This window comes from Homo sapiens, chromosome 18, assembly GCF_000001405.40.
Source record: "Homo sapiens chromosome 18, GRCh38.p14 Primary Assembly".
Taxonomy (NCBI): Eukaryota; Metazoa; Chordata; class Mammalia; order Primates; family Hominidae; genus Homo; species Homo sapiens.
In genome coordinates, this window is record NC_000018.10 from 3,098,214 (window position 1) to 3,111,619 (window position 13,406).

Sequence of the window (13,406 nt, forward strand, 5' to 3'; positions counted from 1 at the left end):
ATAGTTCATGGATTCATCAATACCATATTTATTATCTCTTACAGCATTTATTTTATTTTATTTTTATTTATTTTTATTTTTTGAGATGGAGTCTTGCTCTGTCACCCAGGCTGGAGTGCAGTGGCACGATCTCGGCTCACTGCAACCTTCGCCTCCCGGGTTCAAGCAATTATCCTGCTTCAGCCTCCTGAGTAGCTGGGATTACAGGCGCCCACCACCACACCCAGCTAATTTTTTGTATTTTTAGTAGAGATGGGGTTTCACTATGTTGGTCAGGCTGGTCTTGAACTCCTGACCTCATGATCCACCCACCTTGGCCTCCCAAGGTGCTGGGATTACAGGTGTGAGCCACCACACCCCACCCTCTTACAGCATTTCTATATGGGAGGTGCTATAAACCACTGTGATAGCCATTCCTGGAAAAGAAACCAAGGCACAGAGAAATAAAAGTGAGCTGCCCAGGCGCACAGCTTGAGTCAAAAGTCCAGAACAAAGAGAGTCCAGTCCAAACACTTTGCAATACACTTTAGTACTTTCCATAAACTTTTTCAAAATTAACATTTGAAACCTCACTCATGATATTACTTTTCCAGTTTTATGGTGAATAAGCATACAGATGAGAAATGGCTTGCCTAATGCCACATGGTGGCATAGAGGGTTCTTCCCTAGAATTTAGAAGTCTGCGCCCTACAGTCGTGTCTCATGGGCCCTCCACTCTGCTACTTTGCTGAACAAAGTTGGGTTAGTTTTTGTTTTTAGAGATACGGACTCGCTCTGTTGCCCAGGGTGGAGTGCAGTAGCGTGATCATGGCTCACTGCAGCCTTGAACTCCTGGCCTCAAGTGATCCTCTCGCTCCGGCCTCCCAAAGTGCTGGGAGTACAGGTGTGAACCGCTGTGCCCAGCCAAAGTTGGTTTTGAGAACATTACAGCTGAGGCCAATATCACCAGCACTCAGCCTCACTATCAAACAAGTCACTCCTTGCAGATGTAAGAGAAGGTCCGCAATTCATTCTAGAGCAGTGGTGTGTGTTTTTAAATTACAGTCTCCATTGGGGAATTTACTAAAAGTGAAGGATACTCTTCCTAGAAAAATGCACATATATCAATATACAAAGGCTGTTTGTCCATAGTCTGGAATAGGAATATAGTTTTCTGGGTTCCTGAAACTCCTTTATTAGTGGAGGATTTATATTTTAAGTATTAAAATTTCTGATTTAAAAAGAATGGGTGTATACTATCACTTTCTACTTGTTTTCTCAAACTCCAGGGTGCAACTTTCTGGATGCTTCACTACCTTGGCCAGTGGGTACTAATGGCAAGAGATCCCCCCATCTGGCCAGTGGAACCTTCCAAGGGTCATTTCTGACTTCCTTCTCTTCTCTTAGTGTCAAGTGTGGAATTTAATCTTTTATGTAGAAGGTGCTTTATTGAAGGGTTGTACATTGTTCAGAGGGATTCTTTTTCTGACGAAGGCATGTTTGCCCAATTTTCCAGGAGTTGAAAATGGTAGGCACTGTCTTTATATTGTCTTTATTTAGAGGTATGATTCTGCTTTTAAGTGCCAATCTTACTTAGGAAAAGATTAGTTTGCATAAAGACATATAAGTGAATATATCCAGAAAATATATATGTGATTCCAACATATGTGGGCAAAAAGTGAAGAACTTAATTACTCAGATGTTACACCTGTGTAGCCTGACACTTCGCCATGTAATGGAGCATGGGATATATTTTCTATGTTAGTATCCTTGGTATCTCTGGAGAACAACCGCAAAGGAAAAGGCATCACTTCTAGAAAGCACATCTGTAGCTACTGATGTGTGTTCCATTATATGTTCTCAAGAGTCTCTCTCTTAATCCCATCAGAGCTGTCATCTGATCTATTCCAGAAGTTGCTGCCTAGTAAGACTGCTAAAAACCTGTGAATGTATTGTGGATACTTACTTGGGAACTTGTGTTCATGGCTGAGAGCAAGTAAACGTTTCAATTCTGTAGGGGGAAAAAGAAGGCAGTTAAACCTTAAACTACTAAAATAAAAGTCACTTAAGAATAACTGAGAATTCAAAGCAACATTCGATGTGTGAATGCACTGATTTTAAACTTACCTTCCTCATCTATTAAGTAGCTTGATGCTATTCCATCAGTGTCTGTTACATCGCAAGAGTAAATACCCAAGTCATCCATCCCAAGGTCTTTGAAGGTCATTTTCGTCCTTCGGAACAAAATATTTTTCTTAGAAATGAGGCTGTGTGGGATCTGTGGGCCTGTGTTTCCCCTGAATCTGGGCATTTGTGTATACTACTCCTTTCATCTGGACACCTCCTCTCATCTTGCTGAGCTACAGCCTACATGTTCTTGGTGTCTCAGATTCAATGTCATTTACTCTGGGAGGACTTTCCTTACCTCCTTCCAGGGGGTGATGGTGACGGGAGAGTGGAACTGGCACAAATTCCACATGCCCAAGCTATGTTGCTTATCAGTGCATATCCTGCAGAAAAATACCCAGCTGATCAGTCCCTGCTGGGAGCCAGACACTTCCCCCGCCAAGGGCAGAACCTGCTGTTGGTAACTCTGGGTGCCTCTCCTATGCCATCTCCTGCTCTTCCCTTTTCTGAACTTATTATAAGCATCTTGAGCTCAAAGCATCTGTATTCTCCTCACTGTGTAATCCCTGTGCCTTCAGAGACAGGAACTGCTTTGTTTACTGTGTCACCCCCAGCACCCTGTACCTTGTCTGGCACATAGTATGTGTAATAAGTAAATGAATGGCTCAGTGGCCAAGTTCACTGGGTTTTCTAACTTTGGTAAGCTATATTGCTAGGCAGTGTCTAAGATCAACCAAACATTGAAATGTTAAGTGTATAAACTGGGAGAAAAAATTATCGTTCAATTATCTTTTCTTGGGGCAAATGTGTTTTATGTCAAGAAATTTACAGCATGGTGGCAGAAAAACATCCTTTAATTATATTTGGTATTTCCTTGTCATTCTACAGCAAAATTGCTAGTTTTTTCTTTGATTTCTGAGACACACTGGGCTTCATTGTAATAGAAAAAAGTACTTAGAAATACTGTGCTTTATCAAATATTTGCTTTATCATATCAATCCAATGTGGTTGACACTATGAAAATACAAAGCTTGGTAAGCTTTTGCTATAAAGCAAAGTAAAAAGAATACTCAAAATCTTGGCGTTGAAAGGCAATGATAGATCATACAATTCCTCCATTCTCCCCATGCTCATTTTATAGAAAAAGAAATCCGAGGTTTATGGAAGTTAAATAGCTGCCCAAGGTTATATAGCCAGCTCCTGGTAGAGATGGGCCTAGAGCTCGTTCATCTTATACTTCCACATAGAGCTTTCTTCCCATGTACTATTGTGTCACGCATGAGTGATGATCAAAAAAGCAGAAAAGATTATCCTCAATCCATTTAATTTACCATAACTTGAACCAGCGAGTTCTTCCTAGCCCCCTATAAGTATCCTTATTGTTACTTTAAGATTTCAAAATTTCATAGATAATGAGAATCATTATTAAAGCTGATCTTTATGTCAATTGAATGTTTCTAATAGCATAAATGAGATAATAAATAAGAAAGCACTTTAAATGGAATAATGTAAAAAGTATTTCATAAGAGTTGTTAGTATTTATTTTATTAGAGTCAGGGACTCACTATGTTGCCCAGGCTGGTCTTGAACCCCTAGGCTCAAGTGATCTTTCTGCCTCAGCCTCCTGAGTTGCTAGGATTTCAGGTGTGAGCCAATGAGTCAGTCTGGGATTTTTTTTTTTTTTTTTTTTTTTTTTTTTTGAGACAGAGTCTGGCTCTGTTGCCCAGGCTGGAGTGCAGTGGCGCGATCTCGGCTCACTGCAAGCTCCGCCTTCCGGGTTCACGCCATTCTCCTGCCTCAGCCTCCCGAGTAGCTGGGACTACAGGCACCCACCACCACACCCGGCTAATTTTTTTTTGTATTTTTAGCAGAGACGGGGTTTCACCATGTTAGCCAGGATGGTTTCGATCTCCTGACCTCGTGATCCACCTGCCTTGGCCTCCCAAAGTGCTGGGATTAGAGGTGTGAGCCACCGCGCTCGGCCTAGGATGATTATTTTTAAGGTTTAAGTTGGTTATTATTTTCTACAATACCAGATATAAAATATAAGTGACTTCATCCTCTTATTCCAAGCAATTTAAGTGGAAATCAGAGCTCACCTCATTCTCCTACAGTGAAAAGGAAACCCATGATTGTGATTGACATAGTCCTTACTTGTTGCCCTTGCTTTCGACTTCCAATCGTGGAGAGTCCTCAGTGGATACATAATCTTTGGACCAGGAGAACTCGGACTTTGGAGTCATCTTATCACACTCGAAGTTCAATGAAATGACTCCATCATCATCCACATTTACAACAACCTCTTTGGTTCCTACAAGATCAAAAAGAAGGCACTGATACTTCGTGGAGGAAAGCAACCAAGTAAGAATTTGTTACCTTGAGATTCTTTACTTTAACCCTAAAGTAGGGCCCTGATCCTAGGTCAGGGAAAAGCTTCACTACTCATGCAGGTGGACAGTCCTACTCCACAATTCAACTTTTATGCCATAACATGAAATTAGATGGTTGCACCACATTTCTTAGGTAGAGTCAACACCATGGACAGTATTGTTTGTGATGTGACTGATGGTACAGTTATGGGAGTGGATTGATTGCAATGAGGAAACAAGGCAGCTTTGGGAAAAGGGAAAGTCAATTGATCTTTATCAGACCCTCATTCATGACTTTTGTTTCAACAATATCCACATGCAATCAGTCATCAGGGAAGGATAGAGATGAAGAACCCAAAAGGAAATTGAATGGGAGAAAGTCCGCATGCAATCAGTCATCAGGGAAGGATAGAGATGAAGAACCCAAAAGGAAATTGAATGGGAGAAAGTAGAGAGACTAAGAATAGCCTATATTCACATATTCAAAGTCTTTAAGTCATTTAAGAGTGGAGAAATATATGGATGCCTGCTCTGTGGATCACAGAACCATAAATCAATTTAAAGATGCCCCTCTAGATTAGAGTGATAGCAACTGAGAAATGACTATTATTGAACTGCATGGAAATTTAAATGGAAATGAGTTTCAAGAGATTCAGCTCTTTCAGGAAGATTGGTTTTTGGATTAAAAAAAATTCAGTTAGTGTTTTGAGTTATTCTATTTTTGAGAGTTATAATAAATTGCACCTGCACCTAATAGAGAATTCAAGGAGAATTTGTACAGCATATGAAACATTCACATCTATGCCTAAATCCAGTTGAAAGGAGTAAAATGCTCTACTCAGATTTATACTCATTCAATTGCCAGTCTAAACTTGGTTTGTTTCAGTACATTAGGAAAAATATATATAAAATATATTACATTTAATCCCAGAAAAGTACAGCTGTATTTTTTTAAAAAGCATAAAAAAACCTTCCAAAAGAATTGAATATTTTCTGTCTGGATTGTATTACAAGAGGCCAACATCCTGGCCTACTGTCCAATAAAACTTGTTAGTGGAAAAAAAATTGCAAACGTTTTCCCAAGGGAAGGCCAAGAGGAAACCAGTGCCCAAATTGTGCCTGGCAGGATGATCTTGGTTCCTGAGCCTGATAGTTGATCTAACTTGTGTCCGTACAGATGGCAGTGTATGCTTCAACTATAAACTTCCAAAAAGTGATTGTTAGCACATGCAAAGCTTAGAGAAGACTGGTTCTAGAAAATTTTTTAAAATTCCTTTTTCTTAAACAAAGGGCTACTTTCATATTTGGTTACATAAAGTGAAATAACAATCAATTAAAGGCTTAAGTATTCCTTAATTGTCCACCATATGTTACTTTTAAAGGGCTATATGTATTCCATTGTAAGTTGCAGCCCACATTTTATTTCTATTCCTGATAACACGTGACTAATCTTCACACTCTATTTTCGTATAATAAATGTTGAACAAATGCTTTTATTAAAACTTAAGAAAAGGCTAACACTGAAGAGTGTTGAGGTTTAGACTGTATTATAATATACAGTTTGTGTGACTGAGTCACAGAAAGAATGTAAACAGAAATTTTTGTATATCTGTATTGTTACAGAGAGAAAAGAAGTGAGGTAATCTTGCTTTTTGCATAATCTCTATTTTGGAAGCATGACAGATTGCTTATATTAATCATTCATTGTTCTATCTGTGATCCCTTTTTAAAAGGAAGTGAATCATCCATATGCTTGTTGTTTATTACATTAGAGGTATGACAAGTGTACAACAAAAATATTGGTTAGCTTAAGAATCTTGATTGTGAAAGATTTGACTTTTCTGAAAACAAAATAGCCACAAAACAGAAAGAATACGAACAATTTAATCAGCCTCGCCATTCTCTAAATGCTGTAGATAACTTTTGTAGTGTAACACCTCACCCATTTGGAAAACTGCCCAAAACCAAGAAATAAGGAAAATAAGCCTCTAATACCAGTTCTGATGTGACAAAGTCCACACACTAGTATGCTGCACACTCACCAGGGAATTGGAATCTTTTTTTTTTTTTTTTTTTTTTTTTGAGACAGGGTCTCACTCTGTCACCCAGGCTGGAGTACAGTGGTGTGATCTTGCCTCGCTGTGGCCTTGGCCTCCCAGGTCATCCTCCCACCTCTGCCTCCCAAGTAGCTGGGATCACAGGTGCATGGCACCACATCCGGCCAATTTTTTTGCATTTTTTGTAGGGACAGGCTTTTGCCATGTTGGCCAGGCTGGTCTCAAACTCCTGAGCTCAAGTGATCCACCCGCCTTGGCCGCCCAAAGTGCTGGGATTACAGACATGAGCCACTGTGCCCAGCCTTGGAGTCTTTTTATACTTTGCTTGAGACAATTCTAACAAGCCTACTTGGTTGGTTTCTCTCAGTAGATTAAAAAAAGACAGGGAGGTAAGAAGCTACTATGAGCAGGAGCATTGAGAATAAAGAAAATGACAGCAAGAAAGGAGGGAGAAAAACTAAAAAGCAGGCACAAAAACATTATTTGCTATAGGGGCAGATAGCTTCTCCACCCCATAACAACATTGCTGTATCACAACACTGTGTATTAAATAAAGGTGATACTTACGGCTCTGAGTCACAGAAAAAGGTAAATAAGATTCAGTATACTGCATCCAAGAAGGATGAAAAGCTCTTATTGAATTGCATACTTTATTTTAAAACGATTTTCATCAGAAAGTCTTAAATGAAATTTTAAAGTATTAATGCTTTAGCGGTAAACCCTCAGGCAAATGGAACAAATGGTCATCTAAAACAATAATTTGTTCAGGTTTTTGAATGGCCAAATTTGGTCCCAAACCCATGAAACTTGGAGAATAAGAAAATCCTGGCCAGGCATGGTGGCTCATGCCTGTAATCACAGCACTTTAGGAGGCCGTGGCAGGGGGATCACTTGAGGCCAGGAGTTCAAAACCAGCCTGGCCAACAAGGTGAAACCCTGTCTCTATTAAAAATATAAAAATTAGCCAGGCGTGGTGGCGCATGTCTGTAATCCCAGCTACTTGAGAGGCTGAGGCACAAGAATCGCTTGGACCTGAGAGACGGAGGTTGCAGTGAGCTGAGATCACACCACTGCAGTCCAGCCTGGGCAACAGAGCAAGACTCTGTCTCAAAAAAAAGAAAGAAAATCCCGTTTAGTTTTTGTCTCAATTGCCTCAGTTACTGAGCAAAGAATATAGAGCTGAATCACTGAAGTACATTGGTCCTTCATATCTATGGGTTCTGCAACCGTGGATTCAACCAACTGTGGATTGAAAATACTTGGGGAAAAAACAATAAAAGTAACAACACATCAATAAAAACAATGCAAATTAAAAAACAATACAGTATCCCAACTCTTTACATAGCGTTTACATCATATTAGGTATTGTAAGTAAGCTAGAGATGATTTAAAGTATAAAGGAGGATGTCTGTAGGCTATGTGCATATGCTATGCCATTTTATGAAGGGTCTTGAGTGTTCCTGGATTTTGGTATCCACAGGGGGTCCTGGAACTGATCCCCCAGGATAAAGAGGGATAACTGTATTCTGAAAAATAAACTTTGTAAAGCATTTCGAGATCTTTTGTGAAAATATGAAATGAAACAAAAGATGTTGCTTATTTGCCTTTTTAAATAAAAGATGTTATTTTTAGGTTCTAAGCCACATCTGTGTTTCAACTTCAACCTATGAGTCGTACATCATTACCTTATAGTTGAGTTGTAACATAAGAAATGGGATCATGCATACTTTTTAGAAAAGAATGTGGAAATTTTTTCAAAGTCTTACATTAAAAATTGTAATTTAAAATTAGGTAATTGGCTGGGCTCACTGGCTCACACCTGTAATCCCAGCACTTTGGGAGGCCAAAGTAGGATTGCTTGAGCCCAGGAGTTTGAGACCAGCCTGGGCAACAAAATGAGACTCTGTATCTACAAAAAAAATTTTTAATTAGTGGGATGTGGTGGCTGACACCTGTAGCACCAGCTACTAGGGAAGCTGAGGTAGGAGGATCACTTGAGCCTGGGAGATGGAGGCTGTGGTGAGCAATGATCATGCCACTGCACTCCAGCCTGGGTGACAAAATCAGATCCTGTCGCAAAACAAAAACAAACAAACTTAAGTAATTGCTAGGAGAGAGCCAAAGAGGTAAGGATTAGCTGTAATATCAATCAGTATCTAAGAGTTTCCCTTATCTGTGAAGCTTTTCTTGATTAATTATGTCAAATCAGTATATCATAAGCAATATCTGTAGTGGGTAGAAAAGAGAGGCATGAACATTTCTTCAATTTATGCACACATAATTGTGGGTGCTACTGGTGGATTTATTAAATAAATGAACAATAAAGGAAACAAATAAAAACTATTAAAACTATATTTGGCACTTAAGGTTTAAAAATTTCTTTTTTTTTTGAGACGGAGTCTCACTCTGTTGCCCAGGCTGGAGTGCAGTGGCACGATCTCGGCTCACTGCAACCTCTGTCTCCTGGGTTCAAGTGATTCTCCTGCCTCAGCCTCCCGAGTGGGTGGGACTACAGGCATGTGCCACCACGCTGGGCTAATTTTTTGTATTTTTAGTAGAGAGGGGGTTTCACCATGTTAGCCAAGATGGTCTCAATCTCCTGATCTCATGATCCACCCACCTTGGCCTCCCAAAGTGCTGGGATTACAGGCGTGAGCCACCGCACCCGGCCAGGTTTAAAAATTAAAACTGGCTAAGAGGATTATTTGATTGGATATTCATTTTTCAAAAAGTTGCACTGGTTGTTTAGTTTATTGAGAATAGGGTTAAATTCCACAAATGTCTTATATTTCCCCTACCTATTTACACATGCAGGACTGGATTGAGATTTAAAAAAACCATCTTTAAAAGATAAATGCCAGTTTAAGATTATGACATTTATTTTATTGGAAACTGTCTTGTTAAAGCTAAAGTATAACACCAATATTTTGATAAAGAGGTGAGAGGAAACAAAATTACCAATGAAACCGCCTTTGCAAAATTATGACATAGTTGACTTCATCTTGTTTCTGACCTCCAAGCTGCCCTTGGTCATTCCTGAGCACAGGCTAAGCTAACTTTGGGAGAAGGTTAGTTTATAGTTTAACTTGAAAGCAAGAATGATAATAGTCCTCTCTGTTCAGGGGCTGAAACCACTAATGGGAGGTTACAAGACAGGTGTAGTTTCTATTATCCCTTACTGCTTAGATGTTATGTGGCCAGAGGTCACAAGATCTGTGAGCTTCCCAGTTGCTCCTATAGATAACATCAGTATTGTAGAACCTAAGATTGTTTTCTTTTAGATGTTTTTAAGACTGACCCCACCCAGACTCCTGACTTGTGACTCAATTTACTTTCCCCATTGTAGGCATCTTGGTCTTCTAAGTCACTCTTAAAAAAATGCCCTTACTCAAAGAACCTCTGAGCCTTCAGGGAGACTGATTTGACTGATAACTCTAGGTCTCTCGCTTCAGCTGGCCTCAGGTCAATTAAATTCTCAACTGCAATGCTGCAGTCGCAGTGGATTGATTTTGTCTATGCAGTGGGAAGGGAGAACCTAATGGGCGATTACACTAACAAAGAAAATATTCTAGTGGCAGTGGGTTTCCTACTTAATTTTATACTCAGAATTTGAAGCTGGATCTCCTCCTTGATAAATTTGATGAGGAATTAAATAATTATTTAAATAAGGGTCCTGTACATAGTAGACAAAAAATTCTATTGCAATTTAACAAAAGGTACATGATACTCAAATGGATGATTCTTTCTATAGATGCCCTAGCAAAACCAAAGCCCATATATTAGCCTATAAAGCAATGACAGCATTTTTTTTTTTTCGAGATGGAGTCTTGCTCTGTCACCCAGGCTGGAGTGCAGTGGCGTGATCTCAGCTCACTGCAACCTCCACCTCCTGGGTCCAAGCAATTCTGCCTCAGTCTCCCAAGTAGCTGGGATTACAGGTGCGGACCACCACACCCAGCTAATTTTTGTATTTTCAGTAGAAACAGGGTTTCACCATGTTGGCCAGGCTGATCTCGAACTCCTGACCTTGTGATCCGCCTGTCTTGGCCTCCCAAAGTGCTGGGATAATAGGCGTGAGGCACCGTGTCCGGCCAATGACAGCATTTCAGAATTTCTAACATGCCCCAGGCTAACCCACCAGGTAGTGCCTTGTGGAGATTAACTTGGTACAATATCACAGAAAAAGCCTGACAGAAAAGTCTACCTATAACATCCTCCTCAAATTTTCCTTTTTCTTTTTCCTTTTTTTTTTTGAGATGGAGTCTTGCTCTGTTGCCCAGGCTGGAGTGCAGTGATGTGATCTTGGCTCACTGTGACCTCTGCCTCCCAGGTTCAAGTGATTCTCCTGCCTTATCCTCCTGAGAAGCTGGGATTACAGATGCCCGCCACACGCCCAGCTAATTTTTTTTGTATTTTTAGTAGAGATGGGGTTTCACCATGTTGGCCAGGCTAGTCTCGAACCCCTGACCTCAGGTAATCCGCCCGCCTTGGCCTCCCAAAGTGCTGGGATTACAGGCGTGAATCACCGTACCTAGCCAAATTTTCTCTTTAGAATATCCCACAACTTAGCTGAGGTTTTCCAGAGCTGAGCTCCTATCAATTAATTATGGTTGAACTCTGAGAAATGCCTAAAGAGGCATATTCTCTCAAGTTGATTGAGGGATGTGGTTCTGATAATTAATGGGCAGGAAGCAAGTTTGATGTTCTGCTATCAAAGTAAAGTGGTCTTTGTGGTATTCTTATCCAGATGAGAGGCCATCCCACTTTCCCACAAAGTTGGGCTGGAAAAGTGGACCAAAATTTGGCATAACTTAGATTTTCTCAGAAACAACCTCTTAACCTGCTCATGAATGTGAAGAACTTAACTAAGATCTCAGGAGGTTTATGTATAGAACATGAGAGAGTTGTTGTCGTTGTTGCCTAAAAAGGATTTAAGAAGAGTTGTCACTAGTCAACTCCTCAACCTAAGCGAATCCTTAATACAGACACAGAGATAACTGATTTTAACAGATCTCATTTTACATTACTATTATTATTATTTTTTCTTTCCTATTCTTTTCTAATAGAGACAGGTCCCACTATGTTGCTCAGGGTGGTCTCCAACTCCTGGGCTCAAGTGATCCTCCTATCTGGACTCCCAAAGTGTTGGGATTACAGGGCCAAGACAGCATTCCAATGATCCCTCCAAGGCTTGCCCAGAACTCCTGGTATCCTAATGGGTTCAAGTGTGGCTCAGGACTAAAATGAACTATTTGGAAATTAACTCATTTCATCCCACTTTTCTTTCTCTTCCCCACAAAAAATGATAATAAAGGATAAAATTTAAAAGCTTAAATAAAATCACAGTAAACTGTTCACGTTCCTATACATTTTGTAATCTGATATGATAATTCTTTCTCATATAAAGTGTTTTACATGAGCATGAATATATCACTTTTATAAGCTTTAATTATTTGTTCTCCATGCTGTGGGTGTGCGTGGGGGTGTGCGTGTGTGTGTGGTGATGTTTAAAAAACTGAAGCATGGGACAGAATAGAAGCAGAGGAAAGTGAGTTAATGTAATGGGTCACGTGTAGTACTGAGCTGCCCTGGGTTTCAGACGAGGACTGGCGGCTGACCATTCAGCCTCATGCCCACCTTGGAGCCTCCACCAGACATTTCTTCCCCAGCTCACCCATCATAACCAGGGCAGGCAGTACAAGACGACTGGGGTGAAGTGCACACACTGAGGCTTCAAGACAGTGTCACACTCACTGGCAAACATGCTAGTCATTCATTATTTTTTCATTTAATAAATTAGCTATTATATACCTGGTACTATGTTAGACTCTCAGCACATGTACAGAAAAGACACAGTTCCTATTTTGAGGAGCTATGGTCTAAAGTACAGTTCACAAGCCTGTTTTCACACTGGAATTACCCAAATTGCTAAGTAAACAAACAAACAGCAATAAGCCTATGTTCAGGTACCCAGCCTAAGAGATTCTTTTTTTTCTTTTTTTTTTTTTTTAGAATATCTGATCTTCTGTCATCATCCCATCAGCCCTAAAGATCCTGATTTAATTGGTCTGGAGTTGAGTCCAGATAGCAGTATTTTCAAAACAGTCCTCGTATGATTCTAATGTACAGGCAAGATTGAAAACTACGGTTCTAGCAGATGAAAGAGATCAGTTAGCAAGCAAATACAAGTGCAGTTTTCTTTTTTAAATTTTCTTTCTTTTTTTGGGATGGAGTCTCTCACTGTCGCCTGGGATGGAGTGCAATGGCACAATCTCAGCTCACTGCAACCTCTGCCTCCTGGGTTCACGCGATTTTCCTGCCTCAGCCTCCCGAGCAGCTAGGATTACAGGCACTCACCACCACATCCAGCTAATTTAAAAATTTGGTAGAGGTGGGGTTCTGCCAAGTTGCCCAGGCTGCTCTCGAATTCCTAGGTTCCTCCAGCCTCAGCTGCCCAAAGTGTTGGGATTACAGACATGAGCCACAGTGCCTGGCCTCCGGTGCTTTCCTTTATGTAACTTTAATGAACTGAAATATATGATAACGTTGAAAAATAATACAGGTTAAATGATAAAAGAAATTATTATGTAATGATCTGAAACTCGTTGGACAATGAACACAGTAAACTCTGTTCTCATAAGAAACGGCAAGTCTGTCTTCTCTAGTAATCACGGCATCTTTGAAACTGGGAAATGAGGGCTGCCTCGAATCTATAAACCATTCAGTTGGGACCACTGTTAGTTTAGCCCAGGGGTCAGCAAACTATGGCCTGTGGGCTAAATCTGGCCCATTACCTCTTTTTGCAAGGGCTGCAAGCTAAGAATGGTTTTTATATTTTTAAATAGTTGAAAAAATTGAAAGAAGATTACTATTT

The 13,406-nt window shown here is 40.2% G+C and overlaps 1 protein-coding gene across 6 annotated transcripts in view; it reads right to left on the reverse strand.

Moving 5' to 3' along the window:
* Positions 1-13,406, reverse strand: part of MYOM1 (myomesin 1) — a 180,570-nt gene that overhangs the window by 31,407 nt on the left and 135,757 nt on the right. For all 6 annotated transcript variants that reach the window (XM_047437910.1, XM_047437911.1, XM_017026062.2 and 3 more), the window contains 3 exons: positions 4,261-4,417; positions 2,107-2,213; positions 1,946-1,990 (listed from right to left, as the gene is read on the reverse strand). In XM_047437910.1, the coding sequence (XP_047293866.1) occupies positions 1,946-1,990; positions 2,107-2,213; positions 4,261-4,417 (309 nt within the window). The remainder of the gene's footprint in view (positions 1-1,945; positions 1,991-2,106; positions 2,214-4,260; positions 4,418-13,406) is intronic.